Here is a 12,717-nt window from a genome sequence, read left to right on the forward strand (position 1 = left end):
TGTCTCTACAGAAATAAAAAAAGTAAACAACAAGATAAAGGATTTTTTTTAACACTAGAATAGACAACAAAACAAAACAGCGAAATCTTATGGTTTGGCTTTACCCTTGCTTGAACGCAGTCAGATTAAGTATTTAGTAGTTTTCAAACATTTTTTAAAGCAGTGGAATGCTATCAAATGAAATAATGAAACTTTGCAATATATAAAACAGAAAAGTGTTTTTTACGAATATAAGTTCAAAATTTTCACTTTTTTTTTTTTTTTTTTTTGAGACAGATTCTGTTGCCCAGGCTGGAGTGCAGTGGTGCGATCTCAGCTCGCTGCAACCTCCGCCTCCCACGTTCAAGCGATTCTCTTTCCTCAGCCCGAGCAGCTGGGATTACAGGCGCGCACCACCATGCCTGGCTAATTTTTGTATTCTTACTAGAGATGGGGTTTCACCATGTTGACCAGGGTGGTCTCGAACTCCTGACCTCAGATGATCCAACCGCCTCAGCCTCCCAAAGTGCTGGGATTACAGGCATGAGCCACCACGCCTGGCCCAATTTTCACATATTTATTGTAAATATGTGTAATATATTAAATATCAAATATATTAAATATTAAATATATCAAATATTATATTAAATATATTAAATATTAAATATATCAAATATTATATTAAATATATTAAATATGTGTATTATATTAAATACAGTATTAAAAAAAAAAGATTGAGGTGGCCAGGCGCAGTGGTTCATGTGTGTAATCTAAGCACTTTGGGAGGCCGAGGCAGATGGATCATTTGAGGTCAGGAATTTCAGACCAGCCTGGCCAACATGGCGAAACCCCCACTCTACTAAAAATACAAAACTTAGTCGGGTGTGGTGGAGCGTGCAGGTCATCTCAGTTACTCGGAAGGCTGAGGCAGGAGAATCCCTTGAACCGCGGGGCAGAGGTTGCAGTGAGCTGATACCGCACCACTGCACTCCATCCTGGGTGACAGAGTGAGACCTCGTCTCAAAAAAAAAAAGGAAAAAAGAAAGATTGAGGCTATTTTTGATAAATTAACAATTTGAAATAGGGTAAGAATGATAGATGTAGTCTTCTCAGTCTAGAATCCAGTTGTATTTTGTTTGGATTACACAGTATCAAGAAAATGCGTTCTCAGGCCAGGCGTGGTGGCTCACGCCTGTAATCCTAGCACTTTAGGAGGCCAAGGCAGGTGGACCACCTGAGGTCAGGAGTTCGAGACCAGCCTGGCCAACATGGTGAAACCCCGTCTCTACTAAAAATACAAAAAAAAATTAGCCAGGTATGGTGACGGGCACCTGTAATCCCAGCTACTCGGGAGGCTGAGGCAGGAGAATCGCTTGAACCCAGGAGGCAGAGGTTGCAGTGAGCCAATATCTCACCACTGCACTCCAGCCTGGGCGACAGAGCGAGACTCCGTCTCAAAAAAAAAAAAAAATTATATTCCGCCTGGGAAGGAGGTCAGTGCCCGTCGGCATGTATTACGCTAAGATACTATTTGAAGCATTTGTTAGGTATTCACTAGTATTCCACAACAGGCTATTATGCCATGATGAAAGCATTTGCTGTGCCTTGCCTGGCATTTAATTGAGAATTACCCAGGTGTATGTACTACAGTAATGTACTAACTTGAACAATTTTATATGAGTGGACTGAATTTTTGAAATAGCACAGAGCTATTAACTTTTTTTTTTTTCTTTTTTGAGACGGAGTCTCACTCTGTCGCCCAGGCTGGAGTGCAGTGGCAGGATCTCGGCTCACTGCAACCTCCACCTCCCAGGTTCAAGCAATTCTCCTGCCTCAGCCTCCCCAGTAGCTTGGACTACAGGCGCGTGACACCATGCCCAGCTAATTTTTGTATTTTTAGTGGAGATGGGATTCCACCAGGTTGGCCAGGATGGTCTCGGTCTCCTGACCTCGTGGTCTGCCCGCCTCAGCCTCCCAAAGTGCTGGGATTACAGGTGTGAGCCACTGCACCCGGCCTTAACTTTCTAATTAGTGATACATTTATAAGACATAAATAGCTATCCACAGAGTTAACAAAATAAACTTTGGTCCACAATCTGGATGAGTTCATATTATTTTGATAAGATTTGGTATATAACATATTTGGATGAATGTTGTTCTTTATTATACCTTGTTAAGTAGTTAAAATGACATTTATTCAAATGGTTCTGAAACTCTCTTCCCTGGTTGTTTGAAAAATACTCCAGGGTTGGCCAGGTGCAGTGGCTCAACCTGTAATCCCAGCACTTTGGGAGGCTGAGGTGGGTTGATCACTTGAGGTCAGGAGTTCAAGACCAGCCTGCCCAACATGGCAAAACCTTGTCTCTACTAAAAATTCAAAAAATTAGCCGGGCGCAGTGGTGCACGCCTGCAATCCCAGCTACTCAGGAGGCTGAGGCAGGAGAATTTCTTGAACCTAGGAGCCAGAGGTTGCAGTGAGCCAAGATAGCACCACTGCACTCCAGCCTGGGTGACAGAGTGAGACTCTGTCTCAAAAAAAAAAAAAAAAAAAAAAAAGCCAGGTGCAGCGGCTCAGCCTGTAATTCCAGCACTTTGGAAGGCTGAGGCGGGCAAATCACTTGAGGTCAGGACTTCGAGACCAGCCTGGCCAACATAGTGAAACCCCGTCTCTACTAAAAAAAAGCAAAAACAAAACAAAACAAAACAAAAATTAGCCGGGTGTGGTTGTGCACGCCTGTAATCCCAGCTACTCAGGAGGCTGAGGTAGGAGAATCGCTTGAACCTGGGAGATGGAGTTTGCAGTGAGCTGAGATCGCACCACTGCACTCCAGCCTGGGAGACTAAATGAGACTCTGTCTGAAAAAACAAAAAAACCCTCCAGGGTTAAATGATCCCTTGGGATTCCTTACAGTTTTGCAAGTCTTTGATAGCAGTTAATCTTTTGGTGGGGACTGGTAAGTTTGGGGATCAAGATGATTAAAATGTGTAAGTCCTGAAAAACCATTGTCTTTTCTAATCCATAGTAATTAGAAGATGCCTGTTTTTGGGGGGTGTGTGTATGTGTGTGTGTATTTTTAGTAGAGACGGTTTCACCATGTTGGCCAAGCTGGTCTCTAACTCCTGACCTCAGGTGATCCACCCGCCTCAGCCTCCCAAAGTGCTGGGAGCCATCATGCCCCACCGTTTTTGCTTGTTTGAGACAGAGTCTCATTCTGTTGCTCAGGCTGGAATGTAGTGGTGCAATCATGGCTCTGCAGCCTTCACCTCTGAGACTCAAAGGATCCTTCCACCTCAGCCTCCCAAGTAGCTAGGACTACAGGAACATGCCTCCATGCCTGGCTAATTTTAATTTTTCTTCTAGAGACAAGGTCTCCCTATGTTGCCCAGGCTGGTCTCAAACTCCTGGGCCCAAGTGATCCTCCAGCTTCAGCCTCCCAAATTGTTGGGATTACAGGCATGGGCTCCCGAACCCAGACAGAATATTCTCTTAGTGAGGCCCAAAGGCACAAATTTGTTTACCTCTAGAGCATAATTCTGCAATTCCACCATTACACTGTGAAAAGAATGCAGTACATACGATACCAATCATAGGACAATTTCATAATTTTTAAAAAGTTAAAGGATATAGCACTATGGTAATAATTTTTCTTGCATTCCATATCATTGTGTCTGAATTACAGTTTCTGTGCTGTTTTCAGTGTCTTGTATGTTAATTTTTTTTTTTTTTTTTTTTGAGAGGAAGTCTCACTTGCCCAGGCTGGAGTGCAGTGGCACGATCTCAGCTCACTGCAAGCTCTGTCTCCTGGGTTCACACCATTCTCCTGCCTCAGCCTCCCGAGTAGCTGGGACTACAGGCGCCTGCTACCATACCCGCCTAATTTTTTTTTGTTTTTTTTTTTTAGTAGAGACAGGGTTTCACCGTGTTAGCCAGGATGGTCTCGATCTCCTGACCTGGTGATCCGCCCGCCTCGGCCTCCCAAAGTGCTGGGATTACAGGTGTGAGCCACCGCGCCCGGCCGCTTATGTGTTAATTTATAAGTAATTTTTATCACTTCTTTCTCTTGTAATGATAAGATGTTCACTGTAGAAAACTAAAAAAATCAGAAAAGGATAAAAAAGTAAACTAAAATTACCATAATACTACAACCCAGAAATAAGCACTGTTTCTTTCTCTTTTTTCCCATATATATTATAATGTAATACATTTTAAAAACGTATTTATTGTAGGAAAAAAGAAAATAAAAATAAAACTACCTTTAATTCCATCACTCACTAGTAATCGTTTTGGTGTATAACGTTGTTTTTTTCCTACACATAAGTGTATGTATGTATACATTCATACCAGTTAGGATCGTATCGTATTTCTAGCACCTAGCATAGTACTTGGCTCAAAGTAAACACTCTAATAGATTAATGAATGGTTTTTACTACCTAGATCTCTGTTAAGATTACTGAGAAACAGTGTAAGTTAGTCTTGTTTCAACAACTTATATCTTTGCCTCCTGAGGTACGTTTTGTCAATTGAGAGTGCTGAAGAGATACGAGAATATGTTACTGATCTCCTCCAGGGAAATGAAGGCAAAAAAGGTCAATTCATAGAAGAACTTATAACCAAATGGCAAAAGAATGATCAGGAGTTGATTTCGGATCCTTTGCAGCAGTGCTTCAAAAAAGATGGTAAGTTAATGTAATTATGCAAATGTTGAAATATTGGTAAGTGGGCAGGCTTAAAGAATTATTATTATTATTTTTTTTTTTGCCATCTTGTGTTTCTTCACAGCTAACTTAAACAGAGTCATATGTATACATATTTTTAGTTCGGTTCTACTCAATCCGTAATGAATATTGCTCTAGTTCTTTTTCAACTTAGAAAATATCACAAAAAGGCCGGGCGTGGTGGCTCACGCCTGTAATCCCAGCACTTTGGGAGGCTGAGGTGGGCGGATCACGTGGTCAGGAGATCGAGACCATCGTGGCTAACACGGTGAAACCCCATCTCTACTAAAAATACAAAAAGTTAGCCAGGCATGGAGGCAGGCGCCTGTAGTCCCAGCTACTCAGGAGGCTGAGGCAGGAGAATGGCGTGAACCTGGGAGGTGGAGCTTGCAGTGAGCTGAGATAGCACCACTGCACTCCAGCCTGGGCGACAGAGCGAGACTCCATCTCAAAAAAAAAAAAAAAAAAGGAAAATATCACAAAAAAATGTGTGTTTACAGACACAAATGTGGCTTCAGAATAATTTGAAAAATTTATACATAAAGAAACATTTTTCAGTCGTGCATACCTGGATGTAAGTAAAGTGTTGATTGACTATAGTATGAATAGCATTTAGAGATAACTGCTTAAATAGTACAAAAGATAAGCACCAAACTAAATAATCTAAGTTATTATGCAATCTACAATATCAGAATTTTGTTTGTTTTGAGACATGGTCTCACTTTCATTGCCCAGGCTGGAGTGATGTGGCTTGATCCTAGCTCACTGCAGCCTCTGCTTCCTGGGCTCAGATGATTCTCCCACCTCAGCCTCCTGAGTAGCTGGGACTACAGGCGTGTGTTACCACACCTGGCTAATTTTTGTATTTTTTTCTAGAGATAGGGTCTCACTCTGTTGTCCAGGGTGCTCTCAAACTCCTTGGTTCAAACGGTCCACCTGTCTCGGCCTCTCAAAGTGCTGGGATTATGCATGTGAGCCACTAAGCCTGATTTTAGAATATCAGATTTTAATTTAACTTCTTAGTCCCAGCCACTTGTTTGACTTCTTTTTCATTGACTGCACTCTTGGAAATGATGATTTAAATTTAATTCTGGTTTGACAGGAAAAGATAATTAAAAATCTTCCTGATGATATCTTGACTCTAAATATTAAGCATCACCTTAGTTTATTAGCTATATTAGTTCACCAGGAATCCTCTTATCAATCTGTGTGTGTGTGTATTTTTTTTTTTCTATCTTTAAAGAAATTTTAGATGGGCAGAAATCAGGCGACCATCTAAAGCGGGGTAGGAAGAAAGGGAGAAACAGACAGGAAGTTCCTGCATTTACTGAACCTGACACGACTGCAGAGGTTAAAACACCTTTTGATTTGGCCAAGGTGAGTGCTTATAGATTGAAGCTTTTTCTGACTATTGGAGAAGAGGAAGTGACTAATACATTTCAGAGAGCAAAGTGTACAAATTGGTCTAGAATGGCAATTTTTCAACAAATGCATGAATTTTAGGTAGAAAAAGTTACATATACTCCTTTCTATATGGTAGATTTTTTGTTTGGCAACCTGATTAGTATTATAAAGACATCTTTGCTTTTTTTTTTTTTTTTCCCCAAGACAGAGTCTTGCTCTGTTTCCAGTCTGGAGTGCAGTGGTGCGATCTCTGCTCATTGCAACCTCCGCTTCCTGGGTTCAAGTGATTCTCCTGCATCAGTCTCCCGAATAGCTGGGACTACAGGCATGCGCCACCATACCCAGCTAATTTTCTTTTTTTTTTTTTTGAGACAGAGTCTCGCTCTGTCGCCCAGGCTGGAATGCAGTGGTGTAATCTCAGCTCACCACAACCTCTGCCTCCTGGGTTCAAGCGATTCTCCTGCCTCAGCCTCCCAAGTAGCTGGGACTGCATGCGCACACTGCCACGCCCAGCTAATTTTTCGTATTTTAGTAGAGATGGGGTTTCACCGAGTTGCCCAAGCTGGTCTTGAGCTGCTGAGCTCAGGCAATCCACCCACCTTGGCCTCCCAAAGTGCTAGGATTACAGGCGTGAGCCACCGCGCCCAGCCCTGTTTTTGAACTTTAAATTAATGGAGCTAAATAGTGTGTACTCTTGTATCTAGCTGCTTTTTTTTTTTTTTTTTTTTTTTTTTTTGAGACGGAGTCTTGCTCTGTCACCCAGGCTGGAGTGCAGTGGCGCAATCTTGGCCCACTGCAACCTCTGCCTCCCTGGTTCAAACGATTCTCCTGCCTCAGTCTCCCAAGTAGCTGTGATTACAGGCACACATGCTACCACACCCAGCTAATTTTTGTATTTTTAGTAGAGATGGGGTTTCACCATGTTGGCCAGGCTGGTCTTGAACTCCTGACCTCAAGCAATCTGCCTGCCTTGGCTTCTCAAAGTGCTGGGATTACAGGCATGAGCAACTGTGCCCAGCCAGTGTCTAGCTTCTTTCAATTTATGAGATTCATCTCTACTCTGGGCAGCTATACTTTCTCATTCTCATTGCTACACAGAATTGTATTAAGTGAACACATCACAATTTATCCATTCTATTATTTGGATAGTTTCCAATTCCAATGCAACAGTGAACATTCTTGTATGTATTTTTGGTGAACATATTTACACATTTCTGTTTAGTATATATCTAGGAGTTGAATTGCTGTGTCATAGAACATGCATATGTTCAACTTCAGTTGATATGAGTTTGCAGTCCTGCCAGCAGTGTATGAGAGGTCTAATTCTTTTGTATCTTTGCTAACACTTCATATTTTCTCTTTTTCAGTTTAGCCATTCTGGTTGGTATTTAGTGGTATTGCATTTTGTTTTCGTTTTTGCATTATTTTGACGACTAATGAAATTGAGCACTTTTTCATATGCCTGTTAGTCATTAGGATATCTTTTGTTATGAAGTTCTTATTAGGTTTTTTTTGCCCTTTTTTTGTTTGAGATAGGATCTCGCTCTGTTGCCCAGTGGCGTCAACTCGACTAACTGCAACCTCCACCTTCTGTTTTTCTATTGTATTATCTGTCCTTTTCTTAGTGGTTTCTGATTAAGTCAACTTTATATTTATTTTTCCTATTTTATTGATGGCCCATATTTCCAAATCTGTGAATATCATCTGCTTTTAGAGGCATTCTTGTTTCTTATGATCTCCAATTTAGCTGTGCTTAAAGATGTCATATAAACAGATTTAACTGCTACATTTACCCTCCACTAGCTATAGTAATGGGCTGAAAGCTACTAGCAGAAAAGACAAGGTAATTATCAGCTAGTTTTTCTAGAGTATAACCTTTCCTCAGAACCTTGATTATAACTAATTTGTATTTCTTCCTTTCACTGCCTTCTTTCTTGGTTCTTGGATAGTATATAAGTTGTTACTGAACAGAACGGAGCATTTTCTCCCTTGACTTTTTACATTGTCATTAATTATTTGATGTTATTTTGATGTCTTTGTACGATAGGCACAAGAGAACAGCAACTCCGTAAAGAAGAAGACAAAGTTTGTCAATTTATACACAAGAGAGGGACAGGACAGGCTTGCAGTCCTGCTCCCTGGTCGTCACCCTTGTGATTGCCTGGGCCAGAAGCACAAGCTCATCAATAACTGTCTGATCTGTGGGCGCATTGTCTGTGAACAAGAAGGCTCAGGCCCTTGCTTATTCTGTGGCACTCTGGTAAATTATTTCTTTTCTATTTTATTTTACTGTGCTTTGTGTTAATACGCAGAGCCAGTCAGATCTCAAGTAATTTCTCTTTTTTTGTTTTTTTTTGGTTGAGACGGAGTCTCACTTTGTCGCCCAGGCTGGAGTGCAGTGGCACGATCTCGGCTCGCTGCAGGCTCTGCCTCCCGGGTTCATGCCATTCTCCTGCCTCAGCCTCCCGAGCAGCTGGAACTACAGGTGCCTGCCACCACGCCCAGCTAATTTTTTTGTATTTTTATTAGAGACGGGATTTTACAGTGTTAGCCAGGATGGTCTCGATCTCCTGACCTTGTGATCCGCCCACCTCGGCCTCTCAAAGTTCTGGGATTACAGGCGTCAGCCACCGTGCCTGGCTTTCTCTTTTTCTTAGTAAATTTCTTCCCTAAAATATCCAGTGAACTCGAGTGTCAGGGATATGATTAGTTAGAAACCCAAGGTTAGGCCAGGCACAGTGGCACACGCCTGTAGTCCCAACACTTTGGGAAGCCAAGGTGGGTTTTGGGAGGCTGAGGTGGGAGGATCACCTGAGCCCAGGAGTTTGAGACCAGCCTGGGCAATGTAGGAAGACCCTGTCTCTACAAAAAAAAAAAAAAAAAAAAAAAAAAGTTTTTAATTAGCTGGGCTGGGTATGGTGGTGCACACCTGTGGTAGCATTTACATGAGGGGCTGAAATGGGAGCTTCACTTGATCCCAGGACGTCCAGGCTGCAGTGAGACAGCGAGTCCTTATCTCAGAAGAAAGAAAGAACCCCAGGTTATATCCTAGTACTGAGGCCATTAATGAGAAGGGTTTGAGAACATACATTGTTGAGAGATCCAAGGGCTAGGAGCCACTGTGACAGAATCCTCAGATCATTATAGCTTCTATTTCCAGGATTCCACCTTGTCATAGCTCTGCTTTGTCTGAGAGAATGACCTCAAGAATGCAGTGATAATGACTCACAGAAACCCTTAATGAGCTATCTAGAAAGCTAATTTTACCAAGTTGAGCTGGCTGTCAGAAGCAATGACATTTGGTGTTGGTAAAGGCATCCGTTTTATATTACTTCATTTTCTCCTCTTTTCTGATGGGGCCCTTAATTTTTTCTTTTTTCCTTTTTTTTTTTTTTTTTTTTTTTTTTTTGAGACGGAGTCTCACTCTGTCGCCCAGGCTGGAGAGCAGTGGCACAATCTCGGCTCACTGCAACCTCTGCCTCCTGGGTTCAAGCAATTCTCCTGTCTCAGCCTCCCTAGTAGCTGGGACAACAGGGACACACCACCACGCCCAGCTAATTTTTTGTATTTTTAGTAGAGACAGGGTTTCACCATATTGGTCAAGCTGGTCTCAGAACTCCTGACCTCAGGTGATCCAACCATCTCAGCCTCCCAAAGTGCTGGGATTACAGGTGTGAGCCACCGTGCCTGGTGGGACCCTTAATTTTTTCATATGCTCAGAATAAGCTGATAGACAATGGATGACCTGAAAAATGTAGTGTCTACCAATAAAAATGTCCATTAAATGGCAGTAAATCTCCTCCCATATGGAGCTTTCTCTTTAGAGCAAGCTCTTATAGCTGCTGGCAGGAACTCTGTGTGTCATTGAGGCAACTGCTAGGAAGTATTGTACAGTGTTTTCTCCTAGGTCCCTTGAAGTAATGTAAAGCAGATTGGCCTTGAAGTTTGTTTGTTTGTTTGTTTTTTGAGATGGAGTCTCACTCTCTTGCCCAGCCTGGAGTGCAGTGGCTCACTGCAACTTCCGCCTCCTGGGTTCAAGTTCAAGTGATTCTCCTGCCTTAGCCTCTTGAGTAGCTGGGATTACAGGTGCCCACTACCACGCCCAGCTAATTTTTGTATTTTTAGTAGAGACAGGGTTTCTCTATATTGACCACGCTCAATTGAACTCCTGACCTCAGGTGATCTACCTGCCTCGGCCTCCCAAAGTGCTGGGATTACAGGCATGAGCCACTGCGCCTGGCCCTTGTTTGTTTTTTAGACAGAGTCTCAGGCCAGGCATGCTGGCTTATGTCTGTAATCCCAGCACTTTGGAAGGCTGAGTTGGGAGGATGACTTGAGCCCGGGAGGTGGAGGTTGCAGTGAGCAGAGATGGTGCCACCGCACTCCAGTCTGGGTGACAAAGCCACACCCTGCTCAAAAAAAAAAAAAGAAAGAAAAAAAGAAAAAATAACGTACTCTCAAAGATAAATATTTCTCACTGTTGAGAATACTAGATAAAACATATGTGACTTTACCATAAAAAGCAACCCAGTTCTAATCATGAAGCCCAAATCTGACAAGAGAAGTTAATTATAAGAAGATGTCTTATTAGAAAGAACCAGAAGCCAGGTATGGTGGCTGATGCCTATAATCCCATTGCTTTCGGAGGCTGAGGAGGGAAGACTGCTTGAGCCCAGGAGTTCAGGACCAGCCTGGGCAACATGGCAAAACCCCATATCTACAAAGAAGTCCCAGCTCCTAAGTAGCTGGAACTATAGGCACACACCACCACGCCAGGCTAATTTTTGCATTTTTTTGTTGAAATGGGGTTTGGCCATGTTGCCCAGGCTGGTCTCGAATTCCTGCACTCAAGCAATCTGCCCACCTCAGCCTCCCAAAGTGCTGGGATTACAGTCATAAGCCACTGTGCCCAGCCTTTTTTTTTTTTTTTTCTAAACCATTAAGTCATTCAGGGACATGTGCAGTGATATAAGTTTTTTGTTTGGGTCATAAAAAAGAAATGGAAAGAGATCTGGAGAAAACTCATTTGCATTTTTATATTTTGGTGTGTTTGGATTAAAAAACACCAATAGTCTCATTATTTTATCATCATCTAATGTGTAATTTCAGGTTACTTTTAGATATATCAAGAAAGCAATATAATTTAACTGTTGGATCACATGTCTTACTCTTACTATTTTACAGGTGTGTACTCATGAGGAACAAGATATTTTACAGCGTGACTCAAACAAGAGCCAGAAACTGCTAAAGAAACTCATGTCAGGTAGACAGCAGTCTTGTAATTGGATCACTGGGATGATGGGTACCTTGTTGCGTCTGTGGTTGTTTCTCTTTTCTGTATCCTGGAGTGCAAGATGCAGTTTATTCACTCATTCTCAGTTTTTTTGGGGGGTTTTTTTTGTTTTGTTTTGTTTTGTTTTGATGTGGAGTCTCACTCTTATCACCCAGGCTGGAGAGCAGTGACGCGATCTTGGCTTACTGCAACCTCCGCCTCCTGGGTTCAAGTGATTCTCCTGCCTCAAACTCCCTAGTAGCTGGGATTGCAGGCGTGTGCCACCACGCGTAGCTAATATTTACTTTTTTTTTTTTTTTTGAGATGGAGTCTCGCTCTGTCACCCAGGCTGGAGTGTAGTGGCGCTGATCTCGGCTCACTACAACCTCTGCCTTCTGGGTTCAAGCAATTCTCCTGCCTCAGCCTGCCAAGTAGCTGGGACTACAGGCACATGCCACCATGCCTGGCTAATGTTTTGTATTTTTTAGTAGAGATGGGGTTTCACCATGTTAGCCAGGATGGTCTTGATCTCCTGACCTCATGATCTGCCCACCTTGGCCTCCCAAAGTGCTGAGATTACAGGCATAAGCCACCACGCCCAGCCAATATTTACATTTTTTTAGTAGGGGTGGGGTTTTGCCATGTTGGCCAGGCTGGTCTTGAACTCATGACCTCAAGTGATCTGCCTGCCTCGGCCTCCCAAAGCACTGGGATTACAGATGTGACCCACTGTGCCTGGCCTATTCACTCATTCTATAAGCATCTATTTTTTAGAAAAATTATTAAGACTACATAACATTGAACAGCAAAATAAATAATAGTATTACATTATAATCTAAATAAAATTAATATCCATGTGACCATACTTGTATAAATAACTGAATAAGTTAATAAAATGGAGAAAGGACAACTTCTTATAAAAGAATTCCAGTTAATAAAGTACAAGAAATGAAAATACTAGAAAATCACAATTAGAACACTACAGTAGTAACTGCCACAAGCACGATCCACCAATGGATACTGAAATTATTGGTTGAAAGTTTAAGAACAAGAGATTTACAATGTCATGAAAGACAAGAAAAGATTGAAGAAACGTCACAGATCAGAGTAGATTAAGGATATATATGACGACTAATTGCAGTATAGATCCAGTATTAGATCCTAGAATAGAAAAATGACATTAATGGGAAAAAAATGTTAAAATCCAAATAGTCTGTCTATAGTATTATACCAATATTAATTTCTTAGTTTTGATAATTGTACTATGGTTTTGTAAGATAAGATGGTAACATTAAAGGAAGCTATGTGAAGGTTATATAGGAACTCTACTTATTTTCTAATTATTT

The 12,717-nt window shown here is 41.8% G+C and overlaps 1 protein-coding gene across 3 annotated transcripts in view; it reads left to right on the forward strand.

Moving 5' to 3' along the window:
- Positions 1-12,717, forward strand: part of TRIP4 (thyroid hormone receptor interactor 4) — a 67,468-nt gene that overhangs the window by 1,624 nt on the left and 53,127 nt on the right. For all 3 annotated transcript variants that reach the window (NR_135855.2, NM_001321924.2, NM_016213.5), the window contains exons 2-5: positions 4,487-4,656; positions 5,939-6,072; positions 8,147-8,359; positions 11,284-11,362. Coding sequence is in view for 2 of the 3 variants with exons in the window: in NM_016213.5 (NP_057297.2) it covers positions 4,487-4,656; positions 5,939-6,072; positions 8,147-8,359; positions 11,284-11,362 (596 nt within the window). In the remaining variant the exon portion in view is untranslated. The remainder of the gene's footprint in view (positions 1-4,486; positions 4,657-5,938; positions 6,073-8,146; positions 8,360-11,283; positions 11,363-12,717) is intronic.

Source organism: Homo sapiens, chromosome 15 (assembly GCF_000001405.40).
Source record: "Homo sapiens chromosome 15, GRCh38.p14 Primary Assembly".
NCBI classification, from domain to species: domain Eukaryota; kingdom Metazoa; phylum Chordata; class Mammalia; order Primates; family Hominidae; genus Homo; species Homo sapiens.